The sequence below is a fragment of the Homo sapiens genome, chromosome 2 (genome assembly GCF_000001405.40).
Source record: "Homo sapiens chromosome 2, GRCh38.p14 Primary Assembly".
Lineage (NCBI taxonomy): Eukaryota > Metazoa > Chordata > Mammalia > Primates > Hominidae > Homo > Homo sapiens.
In genome coordinates, this window is record NC_000002.12 from 233491718 (window position 1) to 233513268 (window position 21551).

At 35.8% G+C, this 21551-nt stretch overlaps 1 protein-coding gene across 25 annotated transcripts in view; it reads right to left on the reverse strand.

Moving 5' to 3' along the window:
* Positions 1–21551, reverse strand: part of USP40 (ubiquitin specific peptidase 40) — a 91257-nt gene that overhangs the window by 16192 nt on the left and 53514 nt on the right. For 13 of the 25 annotated variants that reach the window (NR_168054.1, NR_168049.1, NR_168051.1 and 10 more), the window contains 7 exons: positions 20852–20905; positions 19992–20080; positions 18332–18418; positions 8162–8198; positions 6831–6895; positions 5041–5115; positions 1708–1834 (listed from right to left, as the gene is read on the reverse strand). Coding sequence is in view for 19 of the 25 variants with exons in the window: in NM_001382295.1 (NP_001369224.1) it covers positions 1708–1834; positions 5041–5115; positions 6831–6895; positions 8162–8198; positions 18332–18418; positions 19992–20080; positions 20852–20905 (534 nt within the window). In the remaining 6 variants the exon portion in view is untranslated. Of the gene's footprint in view, positions 1–1707; positions 1835–5040; positions 5116–5866; positions 5927–6830; positions 6908–8161; positions 8199–15068; positions 15167–17150; positions 17458–18331; positions 18419–19991; positions 20081–20851; positions 20906–20937; positions 20963–21551 lie in introns of those variants that run through there. The other 12 variants (XM_011511399.3, XM_011511397.3, XM_047444890.1 and 9 more) reach the window with 5 other exon arrangements.

Genomic DNA, 21551 nt, shown 5'->3' on the forward strand with positions numbered 1-21551 from the left:
CCCCAGTTCCTGGTACAATGGGTGCCACATAGTAAATGCCCAATAAATGTTTATTTATAAGGAAATCTTGACAATAAGAAGGCCTTTCCAAGTTTGTTTAAAAAAAGGGAAAAACACAATGCTTTCTCATCAAAAACAATATAAAAGCTGGCAACTAAATTTAGACTGTCTTCACTTATTTTTGCCTTAACTGTCTTTACTGCTGAGCATGCCACTAATGCATAGCAAGAAATTACAGAGAGATTAGAAGTCAACTAAGTGCATGAGAAGTTCCTCTTGTGTCTTAAGGAAATTACAGGCTGACACTACCGGAAAGATAATTTTAGGAAATTCTAAAGAATGAAATATATAATCACCTGCTACATAATGATTTGGTCAAAGACCACACATGTGATGTGATCCTATAAGATTATAATACTGTATTTTCACTGTACCTTTTTCTGTTTAGATACACAAACACCTGCCACTGTGTTATGATTCGCCTTCAGTATTCAATACAGTAAGCTGCTGTACAGGTCTGTAGCCTATGAGCAAGAGGCTACACCACATAGCCTAGGTGTGTAGGAGGCTCTACCATCTAGGTTTGTGTAAATCACTCTACCGTGTTCACATAATGATGAAATCATCTGACGATGCATTTCTCAAAACATATTCATGTTGTTAAGTGACACATGAGTGCATTTCCCATGTGTTGTGTACAGATGTATTACCAAAAAAAGAACCTTTTATTTACTTTTCACGTAGAAACATACTGATTAAACATGCTTTTACAATCTATATCCAATTCTATATGTAACTAGAATTCTATCACCAAGGCATTTTTAGCATTAGTTAACATGAACTACTGTAACCCAACTAAAAAGTAACTTTATGCCAATTTTATAGCTCATTCAACATTACTCTCTCTATATAATCCTAACTTCAAAGAATAAGGAGATAAGAATTTGACTCATTTATATTAATTTTATTACTGAGGCTGAAAAGATTAAAAAGAAATATAAGTAATATACTTCAAGGCACTAGAAAAACTAAATAAGTAAAGCCTGATAAAAAGAAAAACATAGCTAAAGAGTTGGGCCTATTAAAAATATACTCGCTCCATTTCTTTATAATGAAGTGGAACTCCTCTTTGTACAAGGGCAACAGAACTCACTGATAGTGACTTCTGCCCATCGTGATGTGTGCGGCTGAGTGCTGAGTAAGACAACATGCTTGTACTTGTCTATGTTCCTTCTCAGAAGTCAGTGAGATGATATCAAATGCCCTAGAAGCAGTTCCTGAGGGTTTTGAGGCAGAAAGATTGGAAGACATGTAGGATGTGGACTCCTGGTCTCTGCCCCTGTGGGCTAAAATGACATCATTAGAATTGGATGAAGTCTCAATATTCTGGTACGTGGTGATAAATGGGGCCCCTGTTGCCCTGAGGATCTTGAGAGATGATACATAAAAGTCTTTGGAAAGTGTAATATATTGATATAATAATAAACAACAAGATATATAGTGCTTTACAGAGGTTACAGAGCACGTACAGAAATGGCACAGTGTTATTATTATGTGATGTCTGGAATGACTTATGAAATTAATAGGTCTTGATTTTCAAGATCTTACGTTTTAAAAATAAATATATCAATTGACTCTCAGAGCACAGGCAGTCAATTTACTTCTCTTTATGATGCACTGGCTGCTGAAATCCCATTCTGTTCTCACCTTGGCTGGAAGTGGCTCTCCAAACTCTGCCCCAAGACGAAGTACAGTTGGTCTGGTCCTGATGACTCTCCCAGTGTCCTGAGGGACCCTGAAGCTGGTACCACCAGATGGGCACCTTCAGGAAACCCTGAAGAATGGAGCATGTTTAACTGCTGTGATTACAAAGATTAAGTGAAACTCTACTTTTACTTCCATAGAAAGAAACACCTTGATGACCTAAGATGTTCTTGAACTTATCATTTTTCCTTTTAGATTTATTAACTGTCATAAATTATACTTGTTTTTACAATCAAAAATTTAAAATCATAAAAATCAGACTTTGGGGTGACTGGACTAAATATCCCTTGCTTAAAGGTATCTTAGTAGATAATATAAATGAGAAGCATAAACAAGAACAATGCATTTGCTTGAACACACTATACCAGCGTTTCCAGGCGCTGTCCAAGCACTGCTGGCCCAGGATACCAGTCCCAGCAGTGCAGTTTATCACACAGATGCAAGAGCCCATTGATCTAATGGGTTTCTGATACAAACTAAAGGAAATAAACCCATTGTCTTATACATACCCTGTAATTTCAGTTTTACTTATTTAGCTAGTTCTTCCCACCTCATTTTTTGTTAGTGAAGAATTTTAACAGGTTTATTAAGAGATAAAAGGTGCTATTGTTGCAGCACTTAATTTCCAACAATAGAAGATGAGAATAAAAATTAACCACCTAAAACATTTTAAATAGATAGTTCAAGAAATGTGCATTAGAATATTTTTCTGTTTATCAGATTAGTGAAGATTAACAAATATTTGACCTTCATTCGATTAAATAAATGTAAATCAGAACAACAAAATTCCATTTTTTTTTTTCACCTAGCAGACTGTCAAAAACCAGAAAATTATGTTGGTGAAAATATGGGTAAACTTGAACATTTGTAAGTTGGTAGCAGGAATATAAACTGCTGAGAAGTTTCTGTAGAATAATTTGCCTGTACCTGTCATATTTTAAAATGTGCAAGTCCTTTGACCCAGCCATTCCACGTTTAGGAATTTACATTCTGATATACTAGTGCATGCATAGAAAGCCACATATGCAAGAATATTCTTACAAATTGTTTATGGGACCAAAAACCATGAACCAACTTCAAGGACCCTCTTTAAAAGATTTTTGGCTGGGCTTGGTGGCTCACAGCTGTAATCCCAGTACTTTGGGGAGGCTGAGGTGGGAGGATCGATTAAGCCCAGGAGTTCAAGATCAGTGTGGGCAACAAAGCAAGACAAAAATAAAAAAATGTTTAAAAATTAGCCAGGCACAGTGTGCCTGTAGTCCCAGCCCAGGAGATCGAGCTTGCAGTGAGCTATGATCATGCCACTGTACTTCAGCCCGGGTGACAAGAGTCAGATCCTTTCTAAAAAAAAAAAAAAAAAACCAAAAAAAAAACTGTGCAATTTCAGTTCTAGGAATTTATCCTGTAGATATACTCATATACAAGCAAAATGGCATATATATATATATATATATATATATATATATATATATATTTATATATATATATATATATATATACACACACATAAAAAATAAATAAATAAATAAATATATAAAATAAATATATTTTTTACATTGTTACTTGTATCAACAAAAGACTGGAAATGACCTAAATATTCTTCAAAAAGAGACTGGTTAAATAAATTATAGTCCTCCAAACAATGGAGTATTATGAAGCTACTAAATTGAATGAGATAGCTTCACAGCATACACTAGGAGATAAAATATTAATGAAAAAAATCTAGGTACAGAATAGGTTGCCTAGCAAATAATCTTTTGTGCAAATAAAAAGGAATAAATCTGTGTATGTGTGGATATATATGCTATGTATATACACATTGAACTATGTATTTAAAATATTTTACATGGTTAGTCTTCACATTGTCATTGTCTATTGTTTGAAATTAAGTGTTGTAACAGTAACATCTTTTATCTCTCTTCTTGTTTTTTTTTTTACTTTTTAAATTTTTATTGAAAAGAGACAGGGTTTCACCATGTTGCCAAGGCTGGTCTTGAATTCCTGAGCTCAAGCGATTTGCCTGCATTGGCCTCCTAAAGTACTGGAATTACAGGCATCAGGCACCGTGCCTAGCCTACCTTTTATCTCTTAATAAACCTATTAAAATTCTTCAGTAACAAAAAATGAGGTGGGAAAAGCTAGCACACTTCAGTGTGTGCAAGTGTGTGTGTATATTAAAAAGCAAAGGCCTTTGGAAGGATGCAGAGAAAAGCAGCTGCCTGTCGGGGAGAGGACACTGGGTGGCTGGACCCAGAGACAGTAGGGACACTTGCTTTTCCTGGCCCAGCTTTTCATAACACCTGGAATTTTGTATTATGAGTATTGCCTATTCAAAAATTAACTTTAAAGATCATTGTACAAAATATAATAGAATTCTACAAAGTTACGAAAATGAATAAGGTAGGTGTGTATGTGCTGATATGAGGAGCTCCGCAAGATACAGTAAGTGAATAAAAGCAAACAAAACAAGTGTAAAACAATGTAGCGAATACATTAAAAAGGATATGCACATATTTGCCTTCAGCAAACAAATATGTGTAATGTTTTTCTTAGAAGGATACAGGAGGAAAAATCAGCTAACTGTGGCTCTCTCTGCAGAGAAAAGGTGTAGGAGTGATTTCTGCTTTTCATTTCAAGCTTTCTGTACTGTCTGACTTTTCTAATCATAAGCAAACAGTTATCTGAGTCTTGGAGTTTGGGGCCATTTGTTTCTCTTTTGGGTTCACTTTTACGTGCATCCTCAGTTTAAAAGAAACGATACTGGTTTTAGAAAGTAGTGCTATGCGATGCTTACGAAAGGGCAGTGAAATGAGCCCTCTCATATGCTACTGCATAGAACATCAAGGCTTTCAAGAGGTCACACCTTTGGACTTAGGAATTCCACATTTAGAACTATTTTCTGAAGGACTTATTTCAGTACTATTTATAAAAACAAAATGTTAAAAACACGGTAAGTTTCCAACAATGAGGATATAGATCAATTAAATTAGTAAAACATTACCTTGGATATGATGATTATTTTTGGATTTTATGAGAAGGTTAAAATGTCAAATATAAAAAGTAGGAAATAAAAATGTTACATATAATTGATTTTAATTTTGTGTGAGAATATTTACAAGTTAGGAAACATATCTGATTGATAGCATTTGGGGAAAGTTCTCCCTTCTCTTTATGACTGTCTGAATTTCCCCATTTTCCCTAAATGAGGCTGTATCATCTCTGTAATCAGATAACAATTATTACTTAAGAGTTGTCTATTCAGAAGTAAAATCTTACCAGAGGAGGAAGTTGTCCTTCAATTAAAAGCAAAGTATCTCCAGAACATATCAGAAGTTCTTTCAGTGTTGCATCCTGGGAAGACAAAAATGCTTTTTTGTCACTTATGACTTCTGAAAGGAGCAGATCATTGATCTTTTTAAAACCCCATGCCTCTATTATCTTTTCAAAAATTAAATGAATAATAAAGCAGATATGGAAGACACAGGAAATAAGCTAAGACTATAAAATCAGTACAGCATTATTTGTTAAATTGTGGGGCATAAGCTGTAAGTCTGACAGAAGAACTGAGGCAAGGGAGTTAGATGAGATGAGAAATGAGAAACTGATTTACAGAAGATGAAATTTTAATTAATCCTAAAAAGATGGGTTGGATTTGGAAAGCTAGAGAAAATAACAGAAGGAATTTCTCACGAAAAAAAGGACAAGGGCTAAGTTAAGGTTGATAGTAAATATGGCTTGTTTTGGTAAAGCGCTAAAGCCACACTGATTCGAGTGGAAAGTACCAGGAGGTCACACCGGACTGGAAGGGCAGGCACTAACCACAGGACATGGAATAGAAATAAAGGAGCCACACAAGATTTCTGAGGAGATTTTCCAGATCAATCTGGCTGCAATATGCATGACATTGAAGCAGGGAACGCCTGGGCCCAGGAAAGCCATAATAATTTAGGTGAGAGGCATACGAAGGCTTGGACCTGGAGCCAAGCATGGGAATGGTCAGGGAAGGGGTGGAAAAGCTGACAGTTTGGAGGCTGAGAGGAAACATGAAGAATGAAAGATAAGGAGGATATTTTACTCTTGAAGATTAGGATGGGAAAGATACCTGGCAAGGCTGGAACGAGAAGCCAGTTCCAAGGGTAATGAGTTGGCTTCTGGCTGAATTCTTTGATGCCAATTTGGGAATTAATAGAGAAGAAAATGCTGAAGCTATTTGGGTAAATATATTCTTCTGACATCCAAATTTTATGTCCTAAAGATGCTTTGAGGTCCACTTCTTACTCCAGGCAGTCAAACTCCTGCCCAGGCCCCAAGAGGGGCCTCTTGCTATTGACTTACTGACTGCTAAACAGCAAAGAGCATTCCAGGGCAAGGCCCCAGCATACCTCCCTAAATCAACCTTCTGCTGGCATTCAGTGCCCCTTCTTAAAGAACAGGAAGTAGGCAGGTGAAGACTGGGGAAAGGGCGGCTGACCACAGCTCCCTCAGACTCCCCACAGAGCTTTATTTTGGGTCTTCTTCTAAGGCTACGCATTTGAACTGGGAAATATCATGCTATTTGGACCAACAAGATGACCAACTAGATTCCAACTCTCCTGTGATAAAATTATTCCTAAGGCTACCCTAACAGTTTGGCTGGATCGAGAGTTTGGACCAAAGCCTAACTTAGGAATGGTTAGTAAGAAATTCTGCCACCATTACCTTACAGAGAAACTCTGAGATCAAAACATTCAGGGGCCAAAACTTCAGAGTGTATCTATAAAATTCCTTCATGAGCTCAAATGTCATTTGTTCTGTGAAGTTCTCTGCCTTCTCATGAACTGCTCCTCCTAGAGGCATACTCTCATGGCAAGGGGGTTTACCACAGATGTCAGAAATGTTCCCACTGCACTGTGACTTCCCCTTTATCAAAAAACTATAGTAAGAAAAAAGTAAAATAGACCCATTCATAGATATTTGTATCCTATAGAAAGTAATTAAAGCTTTCTCATGAGTGGAATGGGTACCTTGTACGAAAATATGACATAAATGTAATCATACGAAAGTACAATGTATAGAAATCATCTTACTTCTTCACATAAAGGCTCTCCAGCTTCATAGCACCAATCCATTTTTCGTAAATGCCAGGCATCTCCTATAAAGGAGTCAAAATTGGGATAAAAAAAATTCAAAGTTAGGTGAGACGTTGCGTGTAACTTCTAGAAGAATGTCTTGCACCCAGAGCACCTTAACTTCCTTTCCAGATAATAAAGCTATGGGCCTCCATGTTAATGAAGTCTGAGAACAGCAAAGTGTGCTACTGAAATCAGAATGAGGTCTCATCAAGCTCACTGACATGATCTCACCTGGAAAGTTGCTTCAGTTATCTTAGATTTATTTTTTTCATTCATTTTACATTCCGTCATCTATACCACAAAAATACTGACATGAAACAGAATGCACTGAAATTTGGAATCAATAAAATTGAAAGGAATCAGTGGAAGACCTGCGTGGCTCCAGGTGGTATACATCTTAGCGTTCTTTTTATTTTAAGTTCTGGGGTACATGTGCAGGATGTGCAGGCCTGTTACACAGGTAAACGTGTGCCATGGTGGTTTGCTGCACCTATCAACTCATCACCTAGGTATTAAGCCCAGAATGTATTAGCAATTTTTCCTGATGCTCTCCCTCCCCCACTCCCACCCCCCCATACACCAACAGGCCCCAATGTGTGTTATTCCCCTCCCTGTGTCCATGTGTTCTCATTGTTTGGCTCCCACTTATAAGTAAGAACATGTGGTGTCTAGTTTTCTGTTCCTGCATTAGTTTGCTGAGGATAATGACTTCCAGCTCCATCCATGACCCTGCAAAGGACATGATCTCATTCCTTTCTATGGCTGCACAGTATTCCATGGTATATATGTACCATATTTTCTTTATCCAGTCTATTACTGATGGGCATTTGGGTTGATTCCATGTCTTTGCTATTGTGAACAGTGCTGCAATGAACATACATGTGCATGTATCTTTATAATAGAATACTTTATATTCCTTTGGGTATATACCCAGTAATGGGATTGCTGGATCAATGGCATTTCTGGTTCTAGGTCTTTGAGGAGTTGCCACACTGTCTTCCACAATGGTTGACCTAATTTACATTCCCACCAACACTGTAAAACATTCCTACTTTGTACCTTTGCTGGATCCTATCTAAATTCTCTACTCAGAGCTATACCATTAGTTTTCTTTCAGCATGCCAACAAGAACCAGGAGAATTCATTATGTACATATGGAAGTGTAAACTACTTTTTATTTCTCCACACCCTATAAATTTTTTTTTCCTACAACCCTGGAGAAAAAAAAAGTCAAAAAAATTTTTATTAGGCTTTTAAGTAATATGTCATCATGGTAAGTAACTTACCTTGTAGGCCAGATTTCTTCAGCATTAACTTTAAACACTGTAAAGAAAAACAATGTCCAATGTTAGTTTTCTGTTTCTGAGTTACAGTTCTAGGACAAACACCCTTTTTGGACCCTAGGCCTATTTAAGTCTGACTATATTTAATGATTCTTGAATAGGCAAGGATAGACATAGTTAAGAAGATAATACACGAGTCAGCTTTCCTTTCTAAAGGCTAGATGGGGCCAATTCAGGAAGAGGAAAAAGCAGTTTCTGGTGTTTGCAAGCAGGACTTAGTTCAAAGTTTCATCCACCAACTCCCAGGTTTGAACCATGACTTTCTTCCTGTAAGGATTAACTGTGTGTCTTTGGCCAGATATGATTAATCAAGTTAATTTCATAGACATTAAACTCTGAATCCTATAAAAGGCGAGATTGATAGCATTTGGGGAAAGTTCTCCCTTCTCTCTTCTCTTTATGACTGTCTGAATTTCCCCGTTTTCCCTAAATATAAAAACTCACAAGAATTGTGCAAGCTGTGATGTCATGGCATAATGCAAAAATGAGACAATATTAACAAAAGTTTAAATAAAACAAAAATAGTAATTAAAACAATTTCTTGAGGGAAAAACATTGCTAATTAAATCTTGGACAAGCGAGCAAATACAATTTGATTTCTATTACACTAGAGCAAAAGAGAGCAAAAATAAGGAAGTCACTGCTGTACTGTTTGTAATAAAAGAAAAATGGCAAAAAAAACCCCACCAAAATACACATTAATGGGAGATTTTTTAAAAAGTAGGAAATGTCTTAAAGCAGTTCAAAGAAAAAAACAGATTCATATATATTGGTCTTAAAAGATCTTTAAAATATTTTAAGTGAAACAAAGTTCTAGTATAATACATGCAAAGTGATCCCATTTATAATTTAAAAGAAATCACAGAAGCAAAGCACACTCTTCATTTCTATATGTATGTATATAGACACATGCTGGTATAGGCACAGCAAAGGTCTGGAGGGACACATACTCTGCTGATGTGGATAAGATGATGTTATCTGATTGCAACAGTGACTTCTAGAGAAAGGACTAGAATAGAGTGGTAACCAAGGGGGATTGTTAATCCCCTAGAAGTTTAAAAAGTGAGAAGAAATCCATGATTACTTGTATGACAAAAAATAAGGCTTTAAAATATAATTATAGATTGTTTAGAAAATGATGATAAAAACACAGTATACTAAAATATGGTGGATGAATGAAAGCAAGCTTATATTCTAAGAAAACTTAAAGCCTTAAACATTGTATTTAAGAAAAACAATCAAACAATTGAGCAATCAACTTAATTGTGTTTTAGGAAGGGGAAATAGAGAGCATAAAAGCCTTATTTCAGAAACAGCAAGAAGGCCAGTGTGGCTGAAGCACAGTGAGTAAGAGGGGGAAATGGTTGGAGGTTTGAAAATATAACAAAAATGATACCAGAGAACCAGATCACATAGGCCCTTGTGCAGACATTCAAGACTTCACCTCTTACTCTGGGTAAAATGGGAAACCACAGGAGGGTTGTGAGTATAGGAGTGACTAATCTCTCTTACATTTTAAAGGATCACTCAACTTTTTATAAGAACAGACCCTGGGAAGTGCAAGGCTATAAGGAAGGAGATCAGTTAGGAAGCTGATGGATGAAATTCATTTCAGATGAAAAAGATGACAGGTTTGACAGGGTGGTAGTAATGAACAGAATGAGATGTGGTCAGATCCTAGATGCATTTTGATGGTAGAACCAAAAGATGTCCTTGTGAAACTGAATGTGAAGTAAGAAAGAGAAGAATCAAGGATGACTTCAAGGCTTTCAGCCTAAGCAAGTAAAAAATGGAGTTGCCATTAACTGAAAAAGAGAAAAATATGAGCGGGTTATGTTTCAGGGAGAATAAGAAGAGCTTTACTGTGAATATGTTCTAGGTTTGGATGATTGTTAGACAACCAAGTGGCAGCTGGATGTTCTGGGCCGAGGTCCAATCTAAGAACTGGGCAGCAGAATGCTCAAAGATAGAGAAGAGGAGGAGACAGCAAACTGAGAAGGGTAGGCCAGTGGGATATAAGGAAAACCTGGAGTTGTGGTCTTCTGGAGCCCAGTGACAAAAGTGTTTCAAAGAATAGAGTCATCAGGTACATCGAATGTTGGTGATAGAGCAAGTAACATGAAGAGTAAAAACTGCTCACTGGACATAGTAATGTGGAGGCCACTAATGACCCTGACATAAGCTGTTTCAGTGACATAGCAAGGAACAAGTCTGCCTGCAAGGGGTTCAACGGAGTACAGAAAGGAAGATACATCACTTTTGAAAAGTTTTGTGGTTTCTTTCCTTGAAATTAAAAAATGTAAAGTTAAAAAGGCCAGTAAAAAACTGGGAAAATACCTGCAGAAAATAGTAAAATGATCCTCAAATACCCATCACCCAGTCCCAATTACAGGTTGAGTATCCCTTATTTGAAATACTTAGGACTGGAAGTGTTGGATTTAAAAAAAATTTTTGGAATATCTGCATTATACTTACCAGCTAAGTAACCTCAATCCAAAAATCTAAATATGAAATGCTCCAATGAATATTTTCTTTGAGTGTCATGTCAAAGGGTCAAAAAGTGCTCAAAAAGTTTTGGATTTTGCAATCTGGCAGTGGCCCTGCCTCCCCAGAGAGAGCGCTGCACAGCTGCCTGACCCACACATGTTTGCACCCAGCCCAATAGCAAGTGTGGCAGTATCCCCCTCCCCAGAGAGACCAACACACAGCTATGCTCAGGTTGTGCTTGGTAGCAGCACAAACCAGCATCCTTTCCTCCACCAAACCATGTCACCTCTGTCACAAACACCCGTAACCTAGGAAATTGAGGCAACTGCACACATCATTAATGAGGATTACAGCTGAAGAACTGGCATAGGGATCATGCTACTGAGCCCACCAAGAACCAAAGCCAACAACACATCATTTCCAACAGACACCCTAGAATCCATCTATAGGAAAAAGCTCCTCCCTACAATAGCTACTCCATAAAATTGGAAAAAGTAAGTGTTCAAGTAAATGTGAAGATATCAACATAAGAAGACAAGAAATATGAAGGGCCAAGGAAAGATGATATTCTGAAAGGAACACAGTAAGTCTCCAGTAACAAACCCCGAAGAAAAGTATATTTATGAAATGCCTGAAGAGAAATTCAAAACAATGATCTTAAGGAAACTCATAAACAAGAGAATACAGACAATCCAAAATTCAACAAAATCAGAAAAATTCATTCATAATCTGAATCAGAAATTCATCAGAGAAAGAATTTCTGAACTTGAAGACAGGTCTTTTGAAATAACCCAGTCAGAAGAATAAAAAGAATTAACAATTTAAAAAGAATGAAGAAAGCCTACAGGACCAACAAGACACCATTAAATGAACAAGTTTTCTCATTGTAGAAGTGCCAGGGGGAGAATAAATGACAAAAGACACAGCGTATCTATTTAATTAAATAATAGGTGAAAAATTCCCAAGTCCAGGAGAGATATGGACATCCAGATCCAGAAAGCTCACAGGTTCCCCAATTAGATTCAACACAAAAAGATCCTCTTTGGGCACTTTATAATAAGACTCTCAAAAGTTAAAGACAAAAAGAGAATTCTGAAAGCTACAAGATAAAAGCATTAAGTCACATATAAGGAAATCCCCAGTAGACTATCAGTGGATTTCTTAGCAGAAACCTTGCAGGCCAGAAGAAAATGGGGGTAATATAGGAAAGAAAAAAACACTGTCAGCCAAGAATATCATATCCAGCAAAGCTATCCTTCAGAAATAAAGGCGAGATATAAATCTCAGATAAGCAAAAAGCTAAAGGAATTTATCACCACTAGACCAATCTTACAAGAAAATACTTAAGGGAGCACTACAACTGGAAACAAAAGGATGATAATTACTATCATGAAAACACATGAAAGTATAAAACTCACAAGTATAGGTAAATTCATAATCATACTTGGAATACCCCAGTGTCGCAATGGTGCTATATAAATTTATCAATCCTCTTCCATGAAGGTTTAAAGTCAAAATAGCCAAAAACAACAACAGTTACTATTAGTGGCTAAGGACACAATAAAGATGTAAATTAAGGCAACAAAAATATAAATTGTAGAGGGAAGGGAAAAAATTCTAGACTATTTTTATATGACCAAAGGTGAGTTGGATACAGCTTAAAATAGTCTATTATAAGTACAAGACTCTCTATCTTAGTGCAACAGTAACCACAAAGAAAGACATGACAGAAAATACACAAATAAGAAAAAGAAACAAAGCTTAGCACCATAGACAACCATCAAACCACAGAAGTAAACAACCAGAAAGGAAGAAAAAGATCTACAAAACAACCAGAAAACGATTAACAAAATGGCAGGAGTAAGTTCTTACTTATCAATAATAACCTTGATTAAATTCTTCAATTAAAAGATATAAAAGTGACTGAATGGGTTAAAAAAAAGAAGACCCAACTATATGTTGCCTAAAAAAGACTCACCTCACTGTTAAAGACAAACATAGACTGAAAGTGAAGGGATGGAAAAAGATAGTCCATGCAAATAGAAACCAAAAGTGAGCAAGAGTAGCCACATTTATGTCAGGTAAAATAGACTTTAACTCAAAAACTGTAAAAGGTCATTATAATTGATAATGGTCATTGTAGAAGAAGGTCATTATATAATAACTTGTTATATAATCACTATATATCATTATTATGTCATTTATAATGATATAAAGGGATTCAATGAGAGGATATAACAATTGTAAATATATATGCAAACACCACCAGAACACCCAAATATATAAAGCTAATATTATTAGACCTCTAGGGGAACAAGACTGCAATACAATAATAGTAGGGACTTCAACACCTCACTTTCAATAATGGAAAGATCATCGAGACAGAAAATCAACAAAGAAACATTAAACTTAAACTTCACCATAGACCAAACGGAGCTAACAGATATTTATAGAACAGTCCATCAACAACTGCAGGATACACATTCTTGTCAACTGCACAGAGAATATTATCCATGATAGAGCATACATTAGACCACAAAACAAGTCTTAATACATTTAACAAGACAGAGATCATATCAAGTATTTTTTCTAACCACGATAAAACTAGAAATCAAAAAGAAAAACTTTGAAAACCTTACAAATACATGGAAATTAAACACGCTTCCAAAGAACCAATAAGTCAATGAAGAAAGTAAGAGGGAAATTTTAAAATGCCTTGAGACTAAAATAGAAACATATTATACCAAAACCCATGGGATACAGCAAAAACAGTTCTAAGAGGGAAGTTCACAGCAATAGATGCCTAGATCAAAAATGAAGAAAGATTTCTACTAAACAACCTAACCATGAACCTCAAGGAACTAGAAACATAAGGACAAACTAAACCCAAAAGAAGCAGAAGGGAATAATAAAGCTCAGAGCAGAAATAAACAAAATAGGAACTAACAAAACAATTCAAAAGAGAAACAAAATTAAAAACTGGTTCTTTTAATAGATAAAATTGGCAAACCTTTAGCTAGACTAAGAAAAAAAGAGTGAAGACTCAAATAAAGTCAGAGATGAAAATCAGACATTACAATTGATACCACAGACATACAAAGGATCATAAGAGACTATTATGAACAACTACTTGCCAATAAATTTAAAAACATAGAAGAAATGGATAAATTCCTGGACATATACAATATACTAAGATTAAATGATGAAGAAATAGAAAATCTGAACAGGCCAACAAGTGAGAAAATGCTTTCAGTAATAAAGTCTTTCATCAAAGAAAAGCTGAGGACCTAATGGCTTCACTGCTGAATTCTACCAAACATTTAAAGAATATCAATTCTCCTCAAACTACTCCAGAAAATTGAAAAGTTGTGAATATTTCCAAACTCATTTTATGAGGCCAGCATTATCCTGATTCCAAGACCAGATGTAGATTCAACAACAAAAAAAGAAAACTATAGGCCAATATCCCTGATGAACATAGATGAAAAACTGTCAACAAGGTATTAGCAAACTGAATTTAACAAGCACGTTAAAAAGACCATTCATAATTATCAAGTGGTATTCATCCCAAGGATGAAAAAATTCATAAGGAACCACAAAAAAACCCAAATAGTCAAAGCAATTGTGAGCAAAAAGAACAGAGCTGGAGGCACCATACTGCCTTACTTCAAAATATACTACAAAGCAAAAGTAACCAAAACAGCAGGGTACTGGCAAAAAGTCTGACACATAGGCCAAAGCACCAGAATAAAGAGCCCAGAAATAAATTCACAAACTTAACAGCCAACTAATTTTTGATAGATGTGCCAAGAACACACATTGGGAAAATGATAGTCTCTTCAACAAATGGTTCTGGGAAAATTGGATCTCCACATGCAGAATAATGAGACTAGATTCCCTAACTCTCACTAAATACAAAAATCAACTCAAAATGGTTTAAATGCTTAAATGTAAAACCCAAAACAATGAAACTACTAAAGGAAAACATAGGGGGAACACTATGACACTGGATTAGGCAAGAATTTTTAAAATAAGCTTTGGTTGCCTCAAAAGCACAGGCAACAAAAGAACATAGACAAATGGGATTATAGCAAACTAAAAAGCTTTTGTACAGCAAAAGAAACAACAGAGTAAAGAGACAACCTACAGAATGGGAGAAAATGTTTGCAAAGTATAAATCTAACAAAGGGAGCTGGGCGGGGTTGCTCACGCCTGTAATACCAGCACTTTGGGAGGCCGAGATGGGCAGATCACTTGAGTTCAGTAGTTCAAGACCAGCCTGGGCAACATGGTGAGACACTGCCTCTACCGAAAATACAAAAAAAAAAAAAAAAAAAAAATAGCTGGGCATAGTAGCATATACCTGCGATCCCAGCTACTTCGGAGGCTGAGATGGAAGGATCACTTGAGCCCTGGGGGTGGAGGTTGCAGTGAGCTGAGATCACCCCACTGCATGCCAGCCTGGGTGACAGAGAAAGACTGTCTTAAAAAAAAAATCTAACAAAGAGTTAATATCCGGAATATATTATATAAGGAACTTAAACAATTCAACAGCAAAAAAAAAGTACCTGATATAAAAATTGGCAAAAGACTTTAGTAAACATTTCTCAAAAGACATACAAATGGCCAACAGGTACGCACACAAAAAATGCTCAACATCACAAATCATAAAGGAAATGTAAATCAAAACCACAATGAAGTACCATCTCACTCCAGTTAGAATGGCTACTATTAAAAAAACAAGAGAAAACATGTATTTACAAGAATGTGGTGAAAAGGGAACATTTATGCACTGTCGGTGAGACTGTAAATTAGTACGGCCATTATAGAAAACAGTACAGATGTTCCTCACAAAAATAAACATAGAACTATCATGTGATTCACCAATCCCATTACTGGGTATGTGTCCAAAGGGTATGAAATCAGTGTGTCAAAGAGATATCTGCACTCCCATGTTTAATGGAGCATTATTTACAATCGCCAAGATATCAAATCAACCTAAGCATCCAACAGTGGATGAATAGGTAAGGAAAATGTGGTATATATACACAACAGGGTACTATTCAGCCATAAAAAAGAATAAAATCCTGTTATTTGTGACAACATGGATGAACCTGGAAGACATCATGTTAAGTGAACGAAGCCAGGCACAGAAAGGCTGATCGGTAATATGACCTCACTCATATGTGGAATCTTAAAAAAAAAAAAAAAGAGTTGACATCGTAGAAGCAGAGAGTAAAACAGCAGTTACTAGTGACTGAGGGGGAGATGTAAGGGGAGGATGGGAGAGGGTGGTCAACAGGTACAAAGTTACAATCTAATAGAAGGAATAAGCTCTAGTGTTCTATTGTACAGTAGGGTGATGATAGTTAACAGTAAGGATTGTATATTAAAAAATAGTTAGAAAAGCTCTTGAATGTTCTCACCACCAAGAAATGCTAAGTGCATGAGGTAATGAGTATGCTAAATACCCTGATTTAATCATTATACAACACATATATGTACCAGAATATTAAAATGTACCCCATAAATACGTGTCAATTTAATTTTTTTTAAATAGTTTCAGATTTTGGAGCATTTTGGATTTTGGATTTTGGGATCAGGGATGCTCAACTCATATTGCCATGGCCAGTTTTATGTGTCAATAACCCACTTTCCCTGCCCTTGCCCAGAATTTTTTGAAGCAAATGCCAGATATATAATTTCATCTGTAAATATTTATTATGCATCTCTAAAAGATATTTTTAAAAACCTAAAATGATTATGACAGCTAAAAAATTAAGAATTTCTTAATACCAGCAAATATCCAACTAATGTTCACATTTCTCTACTTTCTCTTAAATTATTACTTAAGTTCCTTTGGCTTGAGTTAGGGTCCAAAGAAGTCCATACATTGCAACTGGTTGCTATGTCTTTTAAGCCTCTTTTGACCTATAGGTTGTCCTTGTCCCCTGCAATTTATCTTTTGTAGAAGAGTTTTCTGATCTACATTTGGCTAATTGCAGACCTGTGATGAATTTAACCTGTTCCTCTGCCTCCTGTATTTCCTATAAATTGGTAATTAGACCTAGAGGCTTATTCAGATTCAGGTCCAGTTGTTTGGTTTTTTGCAATAAGGGCATGGGTATTGTTCTGAATTTCTATGTTGTCTGAGTGTTGCTCTTTTTTGGGGCTAGCAATCTTTGAGGATCCTTGCCTAGGTTCATTAATTTATTAGGAGTTGAAAAAATGTAAAATTCTAAAATGCCTTCATTTATTAGTTGGAATATGTTTATAAATAAAACTTATCATTATCTGCTTAGCTACCCTGGGATATAGTTTGCAAGGGAAAAACAGGAAAAAAAATGCTTTATTTTTTACCTTTATGATTGCCTAGCATCCATTATAGGTAACTGCACATTTTTGTATAGGATCATTATGAACTCACAGATTTACAGATTTTATGTACTTGTTTCAATTAATTTTTATTATTTTTCTCAGTCAAGTTCAAATTGTCTCATCTTTGACTAGTGGGCTCCTCAATCTCTTTGATGATTCCAATGGTCTTGGATAGCGGCTTCACTGCTTTCTGTGATGGTAAGATGTTTCAGGCTCATCTTATTTCCTGACCTAGATATATAACCAGCCATTATTCTAAGATGCCCTGGTTCCTGTTTGTAGAAAATGGTATTTGGCAGCCATAATCTGGGTGCCAGGGGTACTCTGCTGCTACCAGGTTGGTCACTCTTTCCAACCTGTATCAGGGGACAGAGCTGGAAAAAAAATTTTTTAAGAAAAAATATATGAAGCTCATTCAGATTTTTCTATTTCAAATTCAGGAGAACAGGTTTTTTTAAACCACACTGATTTTATTTGTCTCTCTGTTTTCCAATACTAAAGGTCTCAGTTCTCAATAACAGCAATATAATTATTTACTTTATCACATACACACATATATACAAACATTCATACCACTGTGTGTGTATATAAATACTAGAAAAAATATGCCAAAATGTTAATATTGGTAGGATAAAGAATAATGATAGGTTTTCATTTTTTTCTTTTAATCAATTTCTGCACATTCAACATTTCTATAATAAAAAACTATTATTGATAGAAAGAAAAAAATTGTAATCTTATTTAAAATTTCCAGTTGAGGCCGAGTGGAATGGCTCATGCCTGTAATCCCAGCACTTTGGGAGGCCGAGGCGGGTGGATCACTCGAGGTCAGGAGTTTGAGACCAGCCTGGCTAACATGGAGAAACCCCATCTCTACTAAAAATACAAAAATTAGCTGGGTGTGGTAGTAGGTAACTGTAATCCCAGCTACTCAGGAGGCTGAGGCAGGAGAATCACTTGAACCCGGGAGGCAGAGGTTGCAGTGAGCTGAGATCATGCCACTGCACTCCAGCCTGGGTGACAGAGTTGAGACTCTCTAAAAAAAAAAAAAAAAAAAAAAAAATCCAGTTGGTTCACCAATTTTCAAGCTCCCAAAATAATTCCTCTAGTGAGTACATATAATTCTCTGAAGTACACCATATCAGGCCTAGTTTAGGACCTCCAAATCTTAACACAGGATACCACTGTTCCTCACAGCAAACATACAAACACACACAGCCTCTGAAAACAAAAGGTAAAATTACTTACATCTCTCACAGATATTGTTTCTTCTACTACGATTTCCATTTCTGTCCCAGGTTGAACGTCACTCCCCATTGCAAAAAACAGGAACAACTAATAACAAGACAGATGTGTAAATGCAATTTAATCTGAATTTAAAAATCCAATAAATGTATTATTTACTTTCAAAAATGTAAAGCCAAGGGCCCATGAAACTTTAACAAAAAATCTCAATTTATATGAAAATACGACTATGATTAATGTTACAATTTAAGCAATAATTATGCCTACCCAGAAGTATAAATTGCTTCATCATCAATGTTTTTTACTCCTAATAAATGTCTCCCACATACACTACTTCTTTTTCTTTCTTTTTTTTTTTTTTTTTTTTTTTTTTTGAGATGGAGTTTTGCTCTTGTTGCCCAGGCTGGAGTGCAGTGGAGCGATCTTGGCTCACTGCAACCTCTGCTTCCCAAGTTCAAGCGATTCTCCTACCTCAGCCTCCCATGTAGCTGGGATTCCAGGTGCATGCCACTACGCCTGGCTAATTTTTTGTATTTTTAGTAGAGGCAGGGTTTCACCATGTTGGCCAGGCTGGTGTTGAACTCCTGACTTCAGGTGATCCACCCGCCTCAGCCTCCCAAAGGGTTGGGATTACAGATGTGAGCCACCGCGCCCGGCCAACATACACTATTTCTTCTACTATGATCTCCATCTCTGTCTCGATCACTCCCAAAAGGAATTTGTAATTACTACACACAGTTAGCATTAGTATGTTTTTTCTGAGTCACTTGGTTATGATTTTATTTTCTGCCAAGGGTTTCAAATATTACAATTCTCAAGACTCCAAAGGAAAAATACAAATCTGATCTCTTATTCAGTTCCTCATAGCCCTGCTTTTCCTTTCTAACTCAACCTCACTTGTCATGTTTTCCCTCCTATCAGCTTGTCATGCACTACTATTTGCTACGGTTCAGGGGAAAGCAAGTTAAGGGGGAAGTGGTTGGGAAAGTAATGAAGTGAATTTGGGAACCATGGGCAACCTGATTTGAGTCCAGATTACCCTGCTACAGGGTATTCACAATAAGAATATCCTTATGATTTCTGCACTGTAATAAGCTGATTAGCTGGGTATGGCTTCTGGCAAAGGTCAAACCTGATGGTGTTTTATACTGAAAATGGACACTGTTAAAGACAAGGGGAAAGGGAGGCTGCTCTGAGACTATTAGTGCAGAGAGTAATTAAGTCTAAAATTAATAAACTGTGTTTCATTCAACCTAAAATGCTACTGAGTGTTAGACTTACTATTTTCTGTACCAGTGCCAGCTATAACTGCAGAACGTCCCTGACTGTAAGATGCAACCTAATCTCACAGATGTAAAAATGTGAGAAAAAGAAGGTGTATCTTAGAACTTAGGAAATATAGTGGTTGAAAGTGGTGGCCACTCAGCATCAAAGATTCCTTTTAACCACAAAATCTTCACAGAAAAAGAAACATAAATATGCTTTGGCATAATATTTTATATTTAAACATCTAGAACTATAAGGATATATTCCTAAAATAAAATGTATGATTTAAGAAAAAACTTTTAGAGAAAAACAATATTACTGGAGTAGCTAAGGTACTAGTTATAATTCTGGTTATGGAAGGGTTGATTTTGTTTTGAAACAGGTGACCTTATTTTACCTGAGACGAACTTGGTGCTTTTCCAAGACACAGTCCCAATGAACTTCCCATCTTCAATTCTGCTTCCTTCAAAGTATAGCTGTCCGGCACTTAAAAAAATTTTGATAATATGATGAAGGTTATTAATTCCTAGCTCTCTAAGAAAAATAAATGCTGAAATCAGTATTTCTTTGAAAATCAAGAATATCAAGAAAGAAGAAAAATGAGTTGCACTTCAGACAAAAGGATTACATGCACTAAGATTAGGTTTGATTTTCAATTTCCATACTCTTAAGATATTGTCTTCCTGTTTTCTATGTAACAATGCTAAATGGAAGCTATGAAAGTCTAGTTTCCTACTTAATAAAAATGACTTGTTCAAAGAGCTGTTGTTTATATAGATTAAAAGCCAGATAATCCAAATCAATCCATAAATGAAGAAGTAGCTTCTTCCAAGTTTAAAGTTGAGATTGTTATTACCATCAATAATTAGGCTCATCCATGACTAAATTAAATCTAATGGTAAGAGGTGATACAGAGATGAGAACTGAAGATTTTATTTCATAATTGGTATCGCAATAAAATTCACAAAAAAATGGAAAAATTTTGAAAATAAAGCTGGAAAAAATATAACTAGATCAAACCCGTGAGTAAAATGAGAATCGGATAATCAGAAAGAATGGTGTTTCATTTAGAAAACAGAAGTGTTTGTTTCTGGTTAAGGATTTCTGCAATATAAAGGTAAGATACCTGGAAGAAAATATGTCCTATAAATCAGTTTCCAAAAGGTAATTTTTAAATATTAGGTATTGGAGGCCACTATTTATCAAGAAAGACAGACGAGTATAAGCCACCTTTTGAAAGTTATCAAAAAGATTTACCTGGACAAAGAAGCTTCCCATTTCTATCAATAGGTCTCAAACAGCTGTTGTCAGCTATATATAAAAGGAATATTATTTTTCTTAGAGAGCTAGGAATTAATAACCTTCATCCTATTATCAAAATAAAAGGAAGCTGGTTACAGCATCAAACACAGAAAACAAAAGAGAGATGCTCTATTGTGTTAATTAGCAGAAAACTACAGAAAGCTAAAAACAAAAACAAACCAAAAACCCCCCAACAACCAAAGAAAAAACCCCCAAAATAAGTACAGGCAGTCTTTGTTTTGTGCAGTAGTGCAAGACTAAAAGTACCTGGTCAAACTGTGCAAAACAATATTAATAATCAATGGAAAAATTACAATCGTTCCATGACACTTAAAAATTTTTGTTGAAACATTTAAAACCCTCTTCGTTATTAATATTATACATGTATTGGGAAAGGAAAAAACAGTAAAACCAATATTTATACTATAATTTAAAATACTAGAATCTTTGAGAATTAAAATGTTTTCTGTCTTTGTAAATTACATATAAAGAGTCGTTTAAGCAGGGCTTGGTTTCTTCTCATTGCATAGCTTATAATATAGAGTGACATTTTTCCTGTCCTGTGGCAAACTGTCATACTCCTTTCTAAGTTTGGATCAGCTTCCAATATCTAGAGTCTCTTGAGTGACTGCAGGGTCAACATTCCCAGAGGTAG